The sequence below is a fragment of the Homo sapiens genome, chromosome 20, assembly GCF_000001405.40.
Source record: "Homo sapiens chromosome 20, GRCh38.p14 Primary Assembly".
NCBI lineage: Eukaryota > Metazoa > Chordata > Mammalia > Primates > Hominidae > Homo > Homo sapiens.
Genome location: NC_000020.11, coordinates 26,066,413 through 26,088,225, shown reverse-complemented (window position 1 = coordinate 26,088,225; position 21,813 = coordinate 26,066,413). Strand labels below are relative to the sequence as shown.

General features: G+C 46.9%; 1 long non-coding RNA gene and 1 pseudogene across 1 annotated transcript in view; one reads left to right on the top strand and one right to left on the bottom strand.

Moving 5' to 3' along the window:
- Positions 1 to 1,308: 1,308 nt before the first annotated feature.
- Positions 1,309 to 21,813, bottom strand: part of FAM182A (family with sequence similarity 182 member A) — a 32,304-nt gene continuing 11,799 nt past the window's right edge. Inside the window, exons 2-5 of the long non-coding RNA NR_026713.1 lie at positions 19,022 to 19,309; positions 14,357 to 14,456; positions 6,836 to 7,062; positions 1,309 to 5,332 (exon numbers count right to left, since the gene is read on the bottom strand). This is a non-coding gene — a long non-coding RNA (family with sequence similarity 182 member A). The remainder of the gene's footprint in view (positions 5,333 to 6,835; positions 7,063 to 14,356; positions 14,457 to 19,021; positions 19,310 to 21,813) is intronic.
- Positions 15,875 to 16,238, top strand: BSNDP3 (BSND pseudogene 3; annotated as a pseudogene).

Sequence of the window (21,813 nt, the reverse complement as noted above, 5' to 3'; positions counted from 1 at the left end):
CTCCTGCACTCAGGTGGCTGTGCACAGCCAGAGAGAAACACACATGCCTTTTGCTCTCATTTAATCATCAAGCCCAAACCTCCAGTGGGCACTGGATGATGTTCTACAGACTCACTCATTTCCTGAGTCCATAAGTCTGCCAGACTTCTTTGTTATCTTAATAAAAAAATATATAATCTAAGCATGTTATGAATACCAACTGATTTAATTATCATCAAACTCTATGAATCTGTTCTATAATAATCACTATTTCACAGCTGAGGAGATGCTGGCACAGGAAGAGATGAAGTGACTTGCCCTGGAGCCCAGGCACCCAGCTCTAGAAGTGCTGCCCTGTCCCCAAGCAACAGTATCTTGCCTCCTCCTTCCTCCTTAAACCTCTAAAACCTTCCTCAGCCTTCCTTACACCTGTTGCCTTGCTTCCTATTTCAATTTGAAAATAGATGCAATAAAGAGAGAACCTTCCCTGGATCCCACCCCCACATCTCCCCAGCTGCTTGCCTCTGTGCTTCCTTCTCCACCTTCGCTTGTTATTGTAGCTGGAGTGTCTCCACTCATGTTAGGGGCGAATTTCCTCCATCATATCCACATCATATCCACATTATATCCACAGCTCAACCCTCAGGTTCTTTCCTGAGTGTCCGCTTTGCACACTGCCTGGTTCCACAATGCGGTCTCCCACCCATCTCACACCCTGCATGCTTACTTATTCATCATCTGTTCTGCTCTACTACAGTGAGGGGCAGGGATTCTGGGTATCTTATTCACTGCAGATTCCAGCATCTAGAGCAGTACCTGGCACCTAGAAGGTGTTGGTATTTAATGAAGTCAGTCATTTTATATGTCAGGCTCTGGCCTGGTGCTGGGGACACTAGGGTGATTCAGACAGGTCCAAGTTTACAGTCCCATAGGGGAGACAAACACATTACCTGACAAATTTGCAGGCAGCCATTTATATTTTCCATCTTACAAAGCAGCCGTTATTGTACTTGAGAGGAAATGCACTCAAGCCGTGAACTGTAGCCGTGAGCTCCCCTACCTCAGGACAGAAAGCCCCAGGCTCCAGCCCTTACATTCCTGGGCCTCCAGGGCTCCCTGGACTTTAGGAAACATCTAGTAAGGGAGACCAAGTCCACTTTGACTCAGAGCTGTGGGATGTCAACAAGGTGCTTCCCCTCTCTGGTCCTCAATGTCTTCGTCTATTACAAGAGATGATGGTGCCAGCTCAGCGAGCTCCACAGGGCTGGGGCAAATGGGACAGGGAGGGTGACAATGCTTTGTGGACAGAGAGGAGGAATTCTGAGTGGCTACTGGAAAGGCACCATGTTTATTTGACAATTTCAAACATGACAGAACTGCAGAACACAGACATCAAGATTCCCCTGTAATTCCATTTGGAGTCTAAAGCTTAGATTTTGTTTTGTTTAAGCAGTGGCAAACATTATGTATAGATATAGATGTGGGATCATAAAATGTGTTTAAAAGTTATTGATGCAGGACAACTTTGCATATCAATACACAAGCATTTATTTGATTTGTTTTAATAGCTGTGAAATATCCCACTGTATGAAGAGACTAAAATCTGTCCTTGTGTTGTGGATATTTGGATTGATGAACCATTGGAACAAAACAGAGAGGGCAATCAAAGCATTTGACAGCCTGGCAGATCAAAGTGAGAGGTTTATTACAGAAGACAGTAATGCTAAAAGGGGAGGAGAGCTAAGTGAATCCACCTGCTGCAATCAGAGCCGAGAATCCCACCACCCTAAAAGCCAGGAGACAACGCGGCCAAAAGGGCAGAGGCCCCCAGGGCTCCCAGCCGTGCCAGATGCAAACTTGTCATCCCACCCTGTGTGTGGGCTTCCTATGCCCTGGACAGTCTTTCCTGAGGCAGAGCTGTTTTAAGAGCTTAGAGCACACATTCTACAGCAGAATTTCTTATGAATGAGGTCCCTGTTCTGTGCTCCTCACCTATCCTGGGCCCTTTTCCTAACTTGACTTTCGGTAGTGGGTGGATAGAGGCCCCAGGTAAACACCAGGCCCCAGGTGGACATCAGGGCTCAAGTGGACACACAGGCTCCAGGTGTATATCAGGCCCCAGGTATATACCATTTTCCTGGTACGTATTAGTAACCAAGGGGACACCGGACTCCAGGTGTACATCAGGCTCACAGGTGAACACCCAGGCCCCATATGGACACCAGCCTACAGGTGAGCATCAGGCTGCAGGAGGATACCCAGGCCTTAGGTAGATATCAGGCCCTACAAGGACACCAGGCCTCAGGTGGACATCAGGGCCCAGTTGGGGACTCAGGTTCTAGGAAGACACCCAGGCCTCAAGTAGCATCAGGGCCAAGGCGGATACTAGACTCCAGGTGGACATCAGGCCCTAGTTGGTCACTAGGCCCTAGGTGGACACCTGGGTCCCTGGTGACCATCAGGCCCCAGATTAACTCCAGGCCTTAGGTGAACATCTGATCCCAGTTGGATATCAGACCCCAGGAGAACATCAGTCCCCAGGTGGATATCAGCTTCCAAGTTGACATCAGGCCACAAGTGGACACTGGACTTGAGGTGTACATCAGGCCTCAGATGGACACCCAGGCCCCAGGTGTACATCAGGCTCAGGTGGAAATCAAGGCACAGGTAACACCAAGGCACAGGTGGTTACCTAGGCTTCAGGTAGACATCAGACCCCAGGTGGACACCTGGGTCTCCGGTGGTCATCAGGCCCTAGGTGGAAACTCAGGTCCCAGGTGCACATCACGTTCCAAGTGGACACCCAGGCCCCATGGTGATACCCAGGTTCCAGGTGGGCACTGGGCCCCAGATGAACACCAGGCTCCGGGTGGATACCAGAACTTGGGTGGACACCCAGCTCTGAGGTGGATATCGGGCTCCAGGTGGACATCAAGCCTCAGGTAGATATCTAGTCCCCAGGTGGACATAAGACCCCAGGTCGACACCAGAACCTGGGTGGATACCTAGGTTTCGGATGGATGCATCTCCAGCTGAACATCAGGCTCCAGGTGGACACCCAGGCCCTAGGTGAACACTAGGTCTTAGGTGGACATTAGGCCCCAAGTGGACAACCAGGTCCCAGGTGGACACCCAGCCTTAACATGGACATCGGGCCCTAGGTAGACAGCAGGTTCAAGGTGCATATGAGGCTCCCGATAAACACTGGTCCCCAGGGAGACCCTTGTCCCCAGGTGAACACCAGCACCCAGGAAGACATCCACCTCCACCTGCACATCATTCTCCAGGTTTATACCTAGGCCCTGTGGGAGCACCAGGCCCCAAGTGAGTACATAGATCCCTGGTGGCCATTAGGCACCAGGTTGACACCCAGGGCTTAAGTGGACATGAGGCCCCAGATGAATGCTAGTCCCCAGGTGGATAAATAGGCCCCAGGCATACATCAGATCTGAGGTCTATACTCAGTCTTCAGGTGGACACTAGGCCCCAGGCAGACACCAGACCCCAGGTGGATACCAGGCCCTATGTAGACACCAGTCTGCAGGTGGACAGCAGGCCCCAAGGGGACATTATGCCCTGGGTTGACACCTAGGCTTCAGGGCAACACTAGGCCACAAGTGGTTACCTATGCCCCAGGTGGACATCAAGCTTTAGTGGAATTCCTAGTCAGCAACTGAACTTCAGGCCACAGGGGGATGCCCAGGCTCTAGCTGAATACCAGGCCTCACATGGACATTAGGTCCCAGGTGAACAGCAAGCCCCAAGTGAATACCTAGGTTCCTGGTGAACATCAGGAAGCAGGTGGCACTCAGGCCCTACACTAAGGCCAAAAGAGAAATCAGAACATATGTGGACACTCAGGGCCCAGGTGGCTATCAGGCCCCAGGTTTATATCACTTTCCTGGTAGACATCAGTACCCACGTAGACACTGGACTTCAGGTATACATCAGGTTCCTAGGTGGACACCCAGGCCCCAGGTGGACACCAGCCTACAAGTGGACATCAGACCACAGGAGGACACCCGGGCCCCAGATAGATATCAGACTCCAGAGGAACACCCACGTCTCAGGTGGACATCAGGTCCCAGGTTAATTCCAGGCCCCAGGTGGAATTCAGGCCCCACCTGGACACAAGTCCCTAGGTAGATACATAGGCTCTGTAGGCCCTGGGGAACATCAGGCCTTAGGTGAAGTTTTAGGCTGCAGGTGGACATCTTGCTCCAGCTGGACATCTGGTCCCAAGTGGACATCGGTCTCCAGGTGGACACAAAGTCCCAAGTTGGACACCAGGCACCAGGAGGACTTTAGTCCTCTCTGGTGAACACCAGCTTCCAGGTTGACATCAGGCTACAAGTTGACACCTAGGGCCCAGATGGACATGTGGCCCCATATGAACACTAGTCCCCAGTCAGCTAGGGCCTGGGTCCCCCTGGAGCCTGATGCTTAGCTAGAGACTGGATATCCACCTGAGGCCAAGGTATCTACCCAGGGACTGGTGTCAAAGTGGGGCCTGATATCCACCTGGGGACTAGGTATCCACCTGGGGCTTGATGTCCACCTCGAGCCAGATGACCTTCTGCAGTCTGATGTCCACCACAGGCCTGGGTGTCCATCTGGGGCCTGGTGTTGATTTGGATTCCAATGTCTACCTGGAACCTGGGGCTATGTTGTCCATTTGGAGCCTGGGGATTTCACCTGGGGCCTGGTAGACATCTGGCCCCAGTAAACATCAGCCTGGAGCCTGGTTGTCCACTTAGAGCCTGGAGTTTTCACCTAGGGCCTGAAGATCACCTGGGACCCAGTTGTTCACCTGGGACATCAGGCTCCAGGTGTACACCCAGGCTCCAGGGTACAACAGGCCCCAAAAGAACTCCAGACCATATTAAACATCAAGTCTCAGGTGGATGCCCAGGCCCCATGTGTACACCAGGCCCCAAGTAGACAGTGGACGCCAGCTGAACACTAGCCCCAAGGTTGACACCCATACTACTGGTGGGTATCAGGCCCCAGATGAATACCTATCCTTCAGGTGTGCATCGGTCCCCAGGGGAACATAAGGCCACAGATAGACATCAGGTCTCAGGTGCACATCTGGCTCCAGGTAAACATCAGGCCTTAGGTGGATACCCAATCCCCAGGTGGACATCAGAGACCAGATTGACACAAAAAATTCCCAGTGGGTATCATGTCCCAGTGGATGTCCAGGCTCCAGGTAAACACCCCAGCCCCACTGTAACCGCAACCACCATAACGAGAAATGGTAGGTCTAAGTACCATCATGCTCCTTGCTCACAAAAGGATGCGTGGATATTTTATTCAAAACACAACTCCATTCCTCACTCTGAGCAGCGATCTGTAGAAAGGAAAAGAAAAATAAACCAGGCCTCAAGGATTCCATCCAAAATGAGGTAGACATTATAAGGGACAGAAATCCCCAAATTAAATGTTATAGTTGACATAGAATAGTCTTTAAAACCCATTGATTTTCTCACACATTTGATTCAAGGCATTATTTCCAGAGACTGAACCTAGAAAGAATTGCTTAAGACTAGGAGTCTTGTTCCAGCCTAGATCCCACACTGTTGAACATCTATACTTAGTACACCACATTATACATAGCACTGACATGACCTGTCTGCATTTAATTTTCTAATACTTGTTCATCTCTGGCATACTTTATATATATATACATATATATATATATATATATATATATCTCATATGTAACATACATACATACAAGTACACACACACAAAAAAAGTATATGAGGGTAGGATAGTATAATTGTGCAGTAACGTTTTTTGTGAAAGTGGTGGAAAGTGGATTGCGTTGGCGACATGCTTGAATGTGCTTCCATTGGCAGAGGTGAGGCTTTCAAAACTAGTCGTTTTCATTTTTCTCTAGCAACTGGGAATATTAATAATTGAAGATGTGTTGTTATAAAAATAATCATAATAATCACAATGAAGTGGTGTTAATAATTATATCACAAGATATAATAAACATTATAGATATTATAAGATGTCAAAAAGAAGATGCCATAAAATCTTTGAGATGATTGACACGTTAAATGCGGCCTCCTGTGCCGCCCTGGGGCGCCACTCTCACTGGGTTCTTGGCGGAGCTCACCCTACTCCACCTGCTCAGCCCAGGCTCCTGTGCCCCGGAGCCATGCCATGGGAGCGAGGACCTTGCCGCGGCCCTAGACAAGGACAATGAGGAGGGGGTGCACGTGGAGTCTCCGCGGATAGGCTGGACGCAGGGCAGGAGCCTTTGCAGGGGTGCACAGCCTCCTCTGGAAGCCCTGGTCACTGCCCGATGCCTGCTGCGCCCTGCGAGCTCCGCGGCGGTGGAGCCAGGCCTGCACTGCCTGCACTCGGCCCCGCCTGCGGACCCTCTGCCCTTTGTCTTGCCCATGGGGCCCGGGGCCTCAGCTGGCCCGGGGTTCCTGAAGTTAGCTGACAATGGGCTGGCCTCTGGGACTGGGTCATGGGCCTTGTGCACTGGCCGCCACTTCACCAGCGCCAGGCCTACCCGCGATGCTGGCTGGAGATGCGGGATGCCCGGGCTCGGGCTCTGCTGGGTCCCCTGGCGCTGCGAACCCCATCACCTTCCATCGTGGCCACCATGCTGCCCGCTGGTCAGCCCTGGTCTGCAGCCTTCCTGGGACCACTCCGGCCCCAAGGAGGCATCACTCACAGCCGCTTGCGACACCGGGGCCGCCTGAACCTCCGCCAGGGCTGCGCCGCGCAAGTGGCTCCAGCCAGCCAGCCCTGGCCCATGAGCAGGACTTTCCGCTCCCCCAGAAGATCGCCCTCGGCAGGGATACACGGCTATGGAGGATGTAGCGGATACCTTCCGAAGTTTGTGGACACTCTTCTGCCACACCAAAAGTTTCACCATCAGCTGCGATGCCGACTGAGGCGCAGAGACCCCTCCGGGATGTGGACCAGGCAGTGACTTTGCTGGGCACCCGCAGTGCTGACCACCCCAAGTGGAGATCCCCACTTCGTGTTCCTCCTCCTCCACGTTCCACATCCAAAGTTCTCTCACCATTTCTAAGCAGGAGAAATCAAAAGAAACTGAAATCAGAAAGAAAGAGAGAGAGAGAGAGAAAGCCATGAGCAAAAAAAAAGAGCAAAACCTTTTGGAAAGCGTAAAACGCCCCAAACCCAAAAACTAATTCTTACCTCTTTTAAACCTTCTGCACGTCTCCAACGATGAATGATTTATTTTATTTATTTTTTTTTTTTTTGAGACGGAATCTTGCTCTGTCGCCCAGGCCGGACTGCGGACTGCAGTGGCGCAATCTCGGCTCACTGCAAGCTCCGCTTCCCGGGTTCACGCCATTCTCCTGCCTCAGCCTCCCGAGTAGCTGGGACTACAGGCGCCCGCCACCGCGCCCGGCTAATTTTTTGTATTTTTAGTAGAGAGGGGGTTTCACCTTGTTAGCCAGGATGGTCTCGATCTCCTGACCTCATGATCCACCCGCCTCGGCCTCCCAAAGTGCTGGGATTACAGGCGTGAGCCACCGCGCCCGGCCGAATGATTTATTTTTTTTAACCACTGGCAATTCGTAATTATTAACTTCTCTGCCATTAATAGAAATTGAATCACATGTGGGAGTATAATTTGTATTATATGAAGCTTTTCATATTTTAAAAAATAATTGTCCAGTTTTTCTCCATGGATTAACAATTAATGGGAAATTTTCAACATTGCTGTGTTGATGTCTCCTGAGATAATTAGATGTGAATAATTTTTTTTTTTTGAGACGGAGTCTTGCTCTGTCGCCCAGGCTGGAGGGCAGTGGCGTGATCTCGGCTCACTGCAAGCTCCGCCTCCCGGGTTCACGCCATTCTCCTGCCTCAGCCTCCCGAGTAGCTGGGACTACAGGCGCCCGCCACCGCGCCCGGCTAATTTTTTGTATTTTTAGTAGAGACGGGGTTTCACCATGTTAGCCAGGATGGTCTCGATCTCCTGACCTCGTGATCCACCCGCCTCGGCCTCCCAAAGTGCTGGGATTACAGGCGTGAGCCACCGCGCCCGGCCGTGAATAATTTTTATAACCAGAATTTCCTGGGTGGAATTTCTCATCTTCAGGAGCTCCATAAATAACCGTGTCCCAAGAGAACTGTGAATTTGGCAACTGAGTCCCAACTCGTCCAGCCTGGAAGCTTTTGGGTGATCACTCTTGCAGGTGACTTCACTGCCTTCTGTTGAAGGGCCAGTGAGAGCCTGGGGGTTTCAACCTGCAAGGGCCTTACCATTTTAGGGTTAGCATTCACAATGAGGAAAAGGCATACTTTTTTGATATTCTCCGTATGTAATAAAAATAGTTACCAAAACAAAGCAAAGTGTGAGTGGTGACTATTGAGAGGACCCTTTCTATCTTTGCTGGATTCCCAGAGATTTCTGAGTTTCTTTTGGAGTCAATAGTATTTCCATGTTAATTCTGAGCTCTTAAAACCCACAATATGAGTTGCAGCCAGTGACTAGAGTTGCAGCCAGTGATTAGTGTTGCAGCTTGTTAAACTGATCACTGGTGGTAGAGCCTTTTCGTTCTGCTCACTTCTTAAAAGGTCAGCTTGGTCAGGGATTAGTGCTACCCTGCCAGAAATAAGCAGTTAGGAATCAAGTAAAGGAGTCAGCTAAAAGCGTAATTACTAAGTAGTGAGGTCACAGCTAGATGGTTGTTGATCTCATTTTCTCTCTGCTGCTGATTTCAAGGCTTTATACCGTGTTTTGATGTAACATAGAATGTATAGTATGAAGTACAAACAGTCTATTAGCTTCTTGGAGCTATACTCCGTTACTGGAGCAGGGGACAACAATTTGAAGGACATTACTACTTAGACAGTTTAATCTGCCTTTGGCTAGAATAAACTTCAAGTTCCAAGGGCTGGGTTCAGTTGTTATGCAAATTTAGATTGTTGCGGTAAAATTTCCAAAAAAAAGGATAGGACTCTTTAGATGAAATAAGAATTTAACTGTATTTGAACCCTGTTGAAGGCCAGACAAGTTTAGGCAAAATCCCACGACTGAATACTCTGATGAGTCCCTTTAAATTCTGACATATAATCTATGTTGGTAAATATGATACGTGCACTGGAAAAGGATGTGTATTCAGTAGTTGTTGAGTGTCACGTTCTGTATATGTCAGTTTATGTCAAGTTTGTTCATTGTGTTCATCCAATCTCCCTTTCTCTTATGGATTTTTTTCTCTTGGTTCCATCGGTAATTGAAAGGTATGTTAAAATCTATATTGTAGATTAGTCCATTTTTCTTTTAGTTATATCAGTTTCTGTATTAAATAACTTGAAGGGATATTTTATATTTATACATATTTAAAATTGGCATACTTTTCTAGTGACTGACATCGTAAAATCTTTTTTATCTTAGCAATATTTCTTGGCTTAAGTCTAAACTGGCAATAATAACATAGCAACATGAGCTTTGTGCTGATTAGTGTTTGCAGGCATGTTTTCCATTGTTTTACTTCCAAATGTCTGGATTCATGTATTCAGATAAATTAATTAAAACATAAAAGTAAATATAATATAAAACATTAAAAAGTAAATATTCTAAAAATCCAGCCAGAGATGTTTCACTTTTAATTGAAGTGTTTAGGACCACGGCTCTCACACTGTGTGCTAAGGTGCCCTGAGATGCTGTGTTTAACTGACAGGGGCACCAGTGGATAGCGTGTGAGTCTGTGTATGTGTGTGTGTGTATTCGAGATGGGGGTCTCACTCTGTCCCCCAGGCTGGAGTGGAGTGGTGAGGTCTACGCTCACTGCAGCCTCTGCCTCCCTGAGTAGCTGGGACAACAGGCATGCACCACTATGCCTGGCTAAGTTTTCTAATTGTAGTAGAGATGGGGTTTTGCCATGTTGCCCAGGCTGTATATTTTTGAGAGAAACGAAGCAACATTTGCTGGAGACCTTAAGAACTACTAGCCTGAGGCAGTTCAGAGTTTCAAAAGTAGTTAGTTAGAAGTGCATTTCTTTACCTTTAAGGTGGGTGGTGTTAATTACCGCGATAAAAGCAAGTATTGTGCTAAAGTCAGTGTGGAATAGGAATAAGGTCCAGTGGTTGAGATCCAGTCCGATTTTAAGATTTGAAAAGTTGTGCTGTGTGCCCAACAGGCACACACATCCCATTAGTAAGTAAATTGTGCTTTTTTAAGAAAGAAACAAAATTACTGTTTCTACTTCCATTGCATGTTATTTTTTATGTATACTTGCAAATCCATCACCAAAATAAAAATAATGAACATATCCAGCACTCATAAAAGTTTCCCCTTGCCCTTTTATAATCCCAAACTTTTTCTATCTTCCTACCTTACCACTCTCCCTGGCAATCACCAATCTGTCACTATAAAATAGTTTGCCTTGTCTAGACATTTATACAAATGAAGTGTAGTATGGACCCTTTTTAGGAGGGGTCTGGCATCTTTCACACAGCATAATTATTTTGAGATTCAGCTATATTGCAGGCATCAATAGGCCATTAATTTTATGACTGAGTAGTATTCTATTGTGCAGATCGGTCACAACTTATATATACATTTGCCTGTTGATGGGTTTTTGCATTGCTTCCGGTTTTGGACTTATGCAAATACATTTGCAATGAACATTCATGTATATAAGTTCTTCTAACTTTGAGTAAACATTAGGAGTGTAATAATTAATAGGTTTAGGTTTAGTTTTAAGAGACTGTCAAAATGTTTGCCAAAATGGTTGTACCATTTTATATTTTTATCAGCAGTATATAAGAATTCCACACTCTTGCCAACATTTTGTATGGGCCTTCTTTTAAAATTTTAGACATTTTCCTGTTTGTACAATAGTATTTTATTGTGGTTCCCTAATGCCTAATAATATTTAGTATCTATGTACGTACATGCCATCTGTATATATTTGGTAAAGTGTATGTTCACGTTTATTTTGCTTCTTTCTTTTTTGTTTTTTTCTTTGCTTATTTTCTCATTATTAAATTTTAATAGTTTCTTTATATACTCTGGATTCAAATCCCTTATTAGATATGAGACTTGCCAGTATTTTCCCCTTGAGTTTTCTTTTTTGTTCTCATAACACTATCTTTCAAATAGCAGATGCTCTTAATTTTGATGGGGTCCAATTTATTAATTGTTCTTGTGCATTTGGTTTTTGGGGCTTCATCTAAGACATTTTTGATTAACTGAATATTACAAAGATTTTTTTTCTGTATTTTCATCTAAAAGTTCATAGCTTTTAATACTTTATTTTATATTTAAGTCAATGGTCCCATAAGCGACAGAGCTTTAACCCAAGTTGCTGTCATGCATAGCTGGACCCAGGGGCTTATATAAAATCATCAAGAAATGTTCTCCTTCTTTCTCTTGACACTTTTCCTTTTGTTTTAGCCTCATTTTTTCCTTCTGAAGATGACTCTCTTCCCTCTCTGTAGCAAGAGATAGTGCTACAAATAACACACTTACTTTGTCCTCACAGACCACAGTGCTAGAAAAAGCAAGAGTCCTTCCTGATGATTCCAAAAAAAAAGTACTGAAACAGTTGCTATGATCCAAGGGTAGAGTCTTTCACCAGAGCTGGGCATCATGATCACCTCTAGGGCTGGGGCTGGTAGGTTGGGTCAAGCTTAGTTGGTTCTCATTGAAATGGTCCTCAAAGAAAAGGGGGGCTCTCAAGAGGAGAGTTGCTGAACACCCCACCCAAAAATAGCCACTGTGTACATACCTACAATTCCTTGACATTTTATAAGCAACTTGTTGGGTGGAAAATGACTAGAAATTCAGTTGTCATTAACTTTCCTGTATAATGTCAGTAGAATGAGCCATACATTTCACATGTTGTGGGTTATGTCCATGATAGTCATTTCTGTATATTAAGTATCAATTTGGAGTATCATCTGAAGAAATATAATATTTTGTGACATTATCCTTAAATTAATATTTTTAGGATAAAGAATTATAGGATAAAAGAAAAGTCTAGGATAGAAATAAAAGAATAGAGAAAATAGGAACATGGATATACCGCAGAAAATGGCCAAACAGGAAAAGTACTTGTGAGAGGTATTGAAGTACATAATTGATATCACATAGACCTCCAGAAAATTACAACTACTGGCATAAGAACAAACTATCTGAATAGTCTTTGCTAATACTGAGTCTTTTCTGCTTGCAAAAGAAGTAAGAATGGTAAGGAATTGGGACATTGTTCAGATAGGCCTCAATGCATTTATTCATTTACCTGTTGATGGGGTTTGGGGGTATTAATGAAAGATGTTAATAAATAATAATGGGCATGTGAGGTAATCATAATTGATTTGTCCATTTGGTCTGAAGAAAATGTTGCCTACCTTCTTTTTTGTCGAGGGATTCATTTTTAATGCCATGTTGGATTCTATGGCTTACTAAATGTGTAATTGCCTATTTATGGATTCTGAAGAATTTTATAAAATGTATTTGCCAAACATTTTGAAAGCTTAGAACTTCTCCAAGGAAGAAGTTCTTTAGTGCTTTAGTGCTGCCCTAACAAATATGGTAGCCACAGCCATGTGAATATTGAACACTTGAAATGTGGCTAGGCTGGACTGAGATGTGCTGTCAGGGTAAAACACACACCAGATTTTGAAGACTTAGTAGGAAATAAAATTAAACATATCTAATTAATAACTTTTATATTGGTTAGACATTGAAATAATATTTTGTATGTATGTTACATATAAATATGCATTCATGTGTATGTGTAATTAATATCTTCATATGAAATACTTCTCAATTACAATTGGAAGAATGATGACTTTGTGGTGGACAAATCTGGCACAAACTTGATCATGTGCCTCCTGCTGGGATGTCCTAGGAAGACCACAGCATTATTTCTGTGATTTTCTTGTGAAAGATACATGACCTAAGTCTGGATGTGGAAACACATCAGATGGAAAAAGGTGAACACATCCTTCATAAATGCTTATGCTCTTAAAACTCTTAAGGTTATGAAAAATAGGGAAAAAAAGAGGAACTCTTTGAAGTTGAAAGAGCTTAGGAGACATGACAATTAATGCAATGGGAAATCCTGGATTGGATCCTGGATTACAAAGTTCAAAAAAACTGTATTTAGGGCACAACTGAGAAAATTTGGGTGAGATTATAGCGTCTGTTGATTGGACAGTAGTGTTGGGTGAATGCTGATATCCTGATGTGGATGATTATATTCTGGTTATGAGATCTTTTCCCAGATTCCTCATCATTTGCCCAGTGGGTTCATGGACAATGTGGCGATGGTAGCAGGAGAAGATGCTACATGTTTCCAATAACGTGAACTTCCCTGCAGCAGTGCTGCCTACTGCCCAGATGAGTGCCCTGACGGCCGACAATGAGCAATAATGAGACCCTGGATAGAGGAACTGCCTTGCCTAGACCAGACAGATTTCTGGTAATGTGGTAATAATATTTTTTCCCTTCCTTCATGGAAGTGGTAAAGAATTGCCCTCACTGGAATAGATGCATATCAGAATATGGACTCCACTTCATATGCTTCTGATAGCATCAAATTATTTACATTTGCTGAGTTCTTATTCTCTGCTATCATACAATTACTACTGATGATGGAGCTTATTTTACAAGAAAAGAAGTGATGCGATGGGCTTCAGCCCATATTTATTGGTCTTGTGACATCCCACATCACCCAGAGGAATATGACCTCACAAGAATCAGTTACTTCACCAACTGTGAGACCCTGAGGGGCTGGGTTTCTATCCTACAAGATGTGTTAGAAGCCCTGACCCAAGAGCCCTGCTACCCAGAATGCATGGTTTCATGTAGCAAGGATCCTTGTGATGGTGGTGATGATGATGGTGAGGATGGTGATGGTGAAGGTGGAGGTGGTGATAATGAAGTGATAGTTATGTTGAGGATGATGAAGGTGATGATGATGGTGAGAATGGTAAAGGTGAACAAGGTGATGGTGAGAAAGGTGATGGTGGTGATTGTGATGGTGATGATAAGGATGGTGATGGCAAAGGTGGTGATGATAATAGTGATAGTTATGGTAAGGATAATGGTGATGATGATGAGGATGATGGTGAGAATGGTGATAGTGACGATGATAGTGATAGTAATGATGATAATGATGGTGAGAATGGCGAGGGTAAGAATGGTGATGGCGATGATGATAGTGTTGGTGATTGTAAGGATGGTGATGGCGATCATGGTGATGAAGATAATGGTGCTGACAGGGCTATGAGGTAATGGAGGCAGAAAAGTGGCAGTTTCCAGGAAGTATAGAGCCAGCTGGGAACTGCAAGGTAACCTTAGTGGGGGTGGAAGATGTAGGGTCCCTGCCTCATTTCTAGACATCTGGAGAAAGCTCACCCCTCACAGTAGTTCCAGGAACCCCTCCATCCAGCATTTCCTTCTCACAATCAGCATGGAGCTTTTGGGGTGCAGAGAAGTGTCTTCTATTCACTGCACTCTGTGGGAAGGGAAAAGGGGGAGTGCTATTTATGAACCCAGTATAATACAGTAGTTACTATGTGCCAGGCAACATGCTGGGTGGTTCCTTATATGTTATCTCATGAAATCCTACAGCAACACAAGGAGACAGGCATAACTACCCCATTATAAAAATTCTGGTAAAATAAACTAAAATTTACTGTCTAGCTATGTTTAAATTTACATTTCAGTGGCATTAAATACATTCGCAATGTTGTGCAACCAATTTCCAGAATGCTTTTCATCTTGTAAAACTACAATTCTGTAACTCATTTAAAAACAACTCCCCAATCACCACCCTCCCCAGGACCTGGTAGCCACCATTGTCCAGTCTGTCTCTATAGATTTGATGACTCTAGGTGCCTTAGAAAAGTGGAATAATACAACATTTGTCTTTTTGGTCTGGCTTATTTTGCTCAGCCTAATGTCCTCAAGGTTCATTCTTGACACTGCAGGTGTCAGAATCTCCTGCCTTTTCAAGGCTGAACACTATTCCACTGTATGCATAGACAGCATTTTGTTGATCCGTCCATCCATCCACGGACACTTGGGTTGCTTCCACCTTTTGGTTATTGTGGATGATGCTGCTCTGAACATGGTTGTGCAAGTATCTCTTCCAGGCTAGCCCCATTATATAGAAGAGTATAGAGAGATTCTGGGAGGAGGGATGACCTTCCTGGGGCCTTTGTTGAGGTCCTGGTAGAGGATCTCCCAGACCTCAAAGGCAGATCTCCTCTCCTCACCCCACTGCCTTTCTTAAGACCTGCCTCCTGCTCCACCACACAGTGCCCACTCCCTGGTACTAGACTTGCTAAGGCCTCTTGATCCCTGAAAGTTCAGGGACAGGAACTGGTGGGCACAACTACAGTCACTCACTTCTCTGTCCCCTACTGCAGATTCTGTGCCAAACAATACATGATAATGACCTGCTTTCCACTCTTTCACCAGATGTGGATGAGGCACCTACTACATGCCAGGCATGTGTGGGCACTGGACAGAGACCCCTGGGAAATAAGTAGATGTGAGCTCCTCAAGGCCAGGGGGATCCCTTTCACTTGCTGCTACCCTGTGAGGGATGGAGGGGCACCCTGAAGCATTGGAGAGGTGCATGAGTGACCTAGCTCAGATGATGATATCATAGTAACCCTGTTTATTATTTATTATCACCTACCATGTGCCAGGCCTTATGGGAAGTACTTTGCACACATTACCTGCTATAAAGCTCAGAGACAACTGTAGGAGTGAATCTGTTATACCTCCCACTTTACAGGGGAGGAAACTGACACCCAGAGAAGTGAACCATTCTTCCTCAGGCCTTGCAGCTAGTCTCTGGGATGTGGATCCAGGCGGTCTGACCCAGAGATCCCCTCATCCTCTTGGTTTTTGCTCCTGCAGCCCTCTGGCCTGTCCCCAGGACCCTGTAACCTTGGCCACCCCCAAGATGACCTGGACATGGGCTTCAGCAAAGGCAGCAACCTCAGCATATCTCCATTTGATAGGGAGGAACCTCAGGCCCACCACAGGAGCCCTGGGCTGCAGGTGGTATAGGTGCTGGCTGAACCACAGTGCACCCATGTTGGAGGATGCAACATAGGATGGGCAGCAGCAGGAGGTCTCCCTGCCCAACAACTGGTAGTGGTACCTGAGAACAAAGGAGGAGAAGGAAGCTTTGGATACAGGTGTGGAGAAGCCCAAGGAGGAAGAAAAAGACTTGGACTATGGGCTGCTGGATGGCCTCAAGGACCCCCTCCCCGAAAAGGAATTTTGAGACTTATACCCAGGGCTGAGATGAAAGTGCTTCCTATTTTCTATCCTGGAACTGCTGCAAACCTCGGTGTGACATCACAGGGCCTCATTTCCCTATTTGTAAAATGGGATTTTATGGGGGTTCCCATGAGAGACTGGACCGAGAGCATTTTGAGAATTGTAAAAAATGTACATTGAGGGAATAATTATTATCAATGGGCCATTGCTCTTCCAATAGTTAGTATTCTTTAGCAAATATTGGAAGGTAAAATATGATTTATTGAGGAGGTTTGCAGCAGCTGAGGCCCTCAAGAGTCTTTTCTGTCTCCGTTCAAAGCTGGTCTCTGACAGGGACCTTCTTGGTGCTACCCCTGGGCCCCTCATTCTTTGTGCAGGCTTCTCAGGGTTCTTATTTCTATTGTATCTTGTGGTTCCCTGGTGGATGGCATGCTCCATCTTCACTCAGAGCTAACTGCATCTCCTCCAGGCCCATGTCCCTTGTGCAGCACCCATTGCTCCCTCACCAGGATTCAAAACCTTCTGTGACTGACCTCTGCTGACCTCCCAACTTTATCTCCCCTCATTCTTTCTGCTCCTCCAGTTACATGCCTGAGCCCCTCAATCCTGTGGCTCACACTCTCACCCAAGCTGTTCTCCATCAGGATTTGCTTGGCTCCCTTTTCTGCTAGGCAAATTTGTGTTCATCCTTCCAAGCCTTGCACAGATGTCCTCCTCTGAAAGCTCTCCCTGAGGTCACAGAGTCCTGGAACAAGGTAGTCATTGCTCCTCTGCTGCCTCTGCATTTTGTGCCTTTATCACTTTGGTGTGACTGCCCGCCTCCTGCTGAATGGAGGCATTTTGGCTTTACTCACCTCAGTATCTCCTGGGTCCAGCTGGGTGTCTGGCCTGGCCCAGAATCAGTGCTCATCAAGGGTGTATAGAACTCACAAGGACCCAGGAATGTTTTGTAAATAATACCACCCTCCCACACTTCTCCAATGCTTACTTTCTAAGCTCCTTTACTCTTTGACATTCAAATTTCTAAATGGCCTGTATGTATTTACAAAGCCTGGGAAAACGCCTTCAGAGGACAAACACACCCCACCGGCAAAATGTATTTGCATTGACTAGGATTATGGATGAAATTCAGCCTTCTGGCAAATGAATCATTTGGCATTGGCTGAGTATCTGCTCTGTGCCAGATACTAAGCTGTGATCTCTAGAAAGAGACATGAACTACTGACACAGTCCTTGACCCCGAAGAGCTCAGAATCCAGTGAGCTTGATTTCTTGTAAGTTAGAGACAGAGTTCAGAGCAGAAGCTGAGGCAGGAGAAGAGAAGTAAAATGGACACACCAGAGGCAGTGACAGCCACACAGCTGTCTGGGGACACTGAGTGCAGCAACAAATAGCTTAGGCTGCCTTGGCAGCCCACGAAGGTATCACGGTTTCCTATTGCAGCATCTCAGTGATGCTTTTGTTATGCTGATCTCTGCAAAGCCCCTCTGTACCCCAGCCCAGGATGGTGACTGCCATGCTGTGGAGAAAAGGGCAGTGACCAGGACCACAGGCTCAGAGCTTGCACCCTGGACCACCTGGGAATGGGAGCCCTTCACATGTTCTCTACCTCTGTGTTCAGGTTGGGGGTCCTGGCCAAGGAAGGGAGATGACCCCCATGCTGGGTCAAAAGGACACACTCCCGGGAACAGACTATCTCTTCTTTCTGGGTAATTTCTGCCTCTGCAGTGAATGGTGAAACCAGACACATCCTCTCTGTTGGTATGACACAAAGACAGGCGTTCCTGCTCATGGGCTGAATCTTCAGATGAGGGGAGGTGTAGCACACTCCTGTGCTCTGCTGACTAAGGCAGGGACACATGTCACCCCATCGGAATGAGTGTCAGACCAATGGCTAAAATAAAATCATTTTCAATATTCAAAGGAATCACCTTCATTCATCTACAAATACTTTTCCTTTTCTTTCTTTTTTTTTTTTTTTTTTGAGATGGAGTTTTGCTCTGTCGCCTAGGCTGGAGTGCAGTGGCATGATCTTGGCTCACCGCAACTTCCGCCTCCTGGGTTCAAGTGATTCTCCTGCCTTAGCCTCTGGAGTAGCTGGGACTACAGGCGCCCACCACCACATCTGGCTAATTCTTGTATTTTTCATAGAGACAAGGTTTCACTATATTAGCAAGGCTGGTATTGAGTTCCTGACCTTGTGATCCGCCCGCCTTGGCCTCCTAAAGTGCTGGGATTACAGGTGTGAGCCACCGCACCTGGCCCAAGTTTTTTTCTATAAAACCACATATTGCACTCAAGGTAGGGTAAATGATGCATCATGCCTGCTGGCAACATGGGCCCTATCTGGAAAGCGAGTGCCCACCACCATGGCACAGTGCTGTGCAGTGCCTGTGTGGTGCTGAATCTCAGGAGCAGCCCCCATCCTGTGAACCACAACTACAGGGACCTTAGACATAAGAAAAAATCTCTGGTGGCCAGGCCTGCCAGCAAGCAGATGCTAACCCTGTCCTGGGGGCCTGCAGGGAGGTCGGGCCAGTGGAGAGGTGGCGAGACCCATGTCTGGTCTCCCCAACTCCCACACATGCTATGCAATGGGCGGATGACCACATACCCGATCTGCCTGGAAGGGTCCTGGTGTGCCCACTGCCTCGAAGAGTTATGAGGGGTGCTGCCTCTCACATCTCACCGGTATCGCATTTGAAGGACAAATTATGTCTTCCCTTCCCCACCCTGTGGGCCTCCGTTTCCTCATGTGCAAGTGGGGGATGATATGCTTACATGGTTTTGCAGTGGGGGTATCGATGGGATCCATCTGTCAATGCCTTGCATCCAGTGACCACCTGGAGCACACCTGCAGTTCGCAAGTTAGGCTTCCTGCTGCAGTGAGGGGAGCAAGCACTGCCTGGAGCCAGGGAGCTTCTCTGAAGGAGGTGTTGGAAAGGACCTGTTCCAGAATTTGGGCTTGTATTGGGAGCTTGGGGGAGGGTTGAAATAAGCCTTTGCTCCAGATTGGATGCTGTCAGAGGCAGGGTGGATTCTATCACCTGGCATCTTCCCCAATCTTACCTAGAAGGAAGGAAGACAAAAACAAAGCTAACGCTGCAATTGACAAAGAGGTAGTGGTGAAGACATAGACACAGGGGAGGGGGTATGAGGTCATTTTTGTCCATATTTTGCATGAGCTGAGCCATGATAGCTACCAAGTGACCTTGCTTTGTCTTGACCCATCATGGTCACAGAGCGACCTTGTCTGATGCTGACAACCTGTGCAGTTCAACAGGAGAACACCAACGTCTTGCCAGCAGTGGCTGCTGTCCTCCTGAGGCCTCGCTGCTCCTCCTCTGGGGCCTACTGCTGACCGTGGGAGGTGTGGAGTGGGAGGGGAATATGCCATGGGTTTTTTTTTTTGCAGAGCAAGGGCAGGGGACTCTGATGCCTTCAGCTCTGGCCATCCTGAGTGCTGTGATCTGCTTCCCCTGCTTCCTACACCACCCGCAATCCCACCACGCTGCTGCAGTCACTGCCAACTCATAGTGCCTTCTAAGGGCCCCAGTGTCTCTGGGACACCCCTCTCCCCTGGGAGGGAAGCAAGGTGCTCATGAAGGTCCCAGGTGGAGGTGCTGAAAGAGTGTGGAGGTGCCTTCTTGAGTGTCAAAGTCTGGGATTCCAGCTTTCAGCTTCAGGCTCCAGGTGTGTGTGCCGAAGTGGAATTTTCTGCTCTCATTCGCTCTCCTGTCTGGTCAGAGGAACTTGGGGAGTTTCCTCTCTAGGGGAGGGAAAGGGCCTGGAGAGGTGGCCTTGCCCTGAACTGGGAAGGGGTGGGCATGGGAAAGCAGGGGCCTGGGCTCTGCCTACTGCTTGCTGACAGCTTGGGCACAGCACTGCCCTCCCTGGGCTCCTGTCTCCTTTCTCTGTATGATTAGGTGGAGGTGGATGGGATTCTGCTTCTACTCCCAGTCCTTGGGCACCATATCAGGTACTCACACACTTACGACCCCATCTGGTCTTTGGAACAGCACTGGGGGATGGATCTGTCAATCTCACGTTGCAAATGTTTGTTCTAAATCCCACACTCTGAAGTCAGAAAGACCTGGGTTAGCCCTCAGCCACTGACGGTTGCTTGCTATGTGACCTTGGACAAGTCACTGCCCTTCTCTGAGCCTCAACACCCACATTTACACAGGGGAAGAATAATACCTCCCTCTTGGGCTGCTGTGAAGCAGAGCTAATGCGTACATTGCCTCAGGCACATTGCAGGTGCTCAAAGTGTTGGTCTTTCCTTCCCTTTCTAGGTCCCCATTTCATCATCTACACAGTAGGGAGTAACTCTGTCTGGATTATAAATAAGACAATAGGTGAATGCACTCAGCAAGCCTGGGGGCAGGGATGCCTAGAGAAGCTTCTTGCAAAGGTGAAGAATGTGTGCTCTGAGCCCCATGCTGAGAGGCAGGTGAGAGGACAGCAAGCCCAGCAACTGAGGCCTACAAAATGCCTCCTGCAGAGAGGGAGGAGGAGCAGTGTTCTAAGGCGGGTGGGAGGCAGCATCCCCAGTACTTGCAGGAGGAGCAGGACTGTTGTGCTTGCTCAGGGGGGTGGTAGGTTAGGTTCTTAGGTATCTGCTGGGTATCAGATGCTGCACAAGCATCGTCTCCTTGAACTTAATCTTTCCATCATCCCTGAGAGGTGGGCATTACAGGGGCTTAGTGGGATTGAAACACAGGTCCCCTGAGCCTGTGCTTTTTCTACAAGGCAACTTAGTTCACATGTAATAATAGGACCCAAAAATACAACTGCTATGCTGTGCTCACCTGATTTCATAACATCCTTGTGACCTGCGAGGTTGGTGTACTGTCATCATTTTATGGATGAGGAAACTGAGGCTCAGAGAGGGTGAATAATTTGCTCATCCTTCCAAAGAACTAAAGGGAAGAGAAGTGCTATAGCTCTGGCGCCTTCTATTCCTGGTAGGAAGTGTGCAGTACCCAAGGCCATTCTGACCCTAGTGCAGGCAGGAGAAAAGGCACATCAACAAATCCAGCAGCAAGCTTCCACTGAGGGCCTCCCTGACCTTTCCTTGCACTAGTGCTGTGGGAGAAACAGCCTTGTTCCTTCACCTAACATGGCTTCTTGCCGCCCCCAGGATAAAGCTCAGAGTCCTCAGGTCTGTGTTTGAGAGTCTTCATGGTCTGGTCCCACCTGCATTTCCAGCCAAATCCTCCACCAGGGTTCCCAGTGCAGCAGCCCTGGCCACCTGTCCCATCCTACCATCCTGACTTGGCTCAAGCTGCTCCCTCTGTCCCATGGTCTTCACACATAGAACAAGGAGAAGCTTGATATAGGCTAACCTGAATTTTCCATTTGAGAGCATTTTCACCTTCTGGAAACAGACATTTCACCCAAAATTCCAGATTCCCTGCTTCTCTGAAAATAAATACATACATACATACATACATACATACATGCATATATAAATCTGCTCTTACTCTGCACTATTCTGTTTTCTGAGACAGAGTTTCACTCTTGTTGCCCAGGCTGTAGTGCAGTGGTGTGATCCCCACTCACCGCAACCC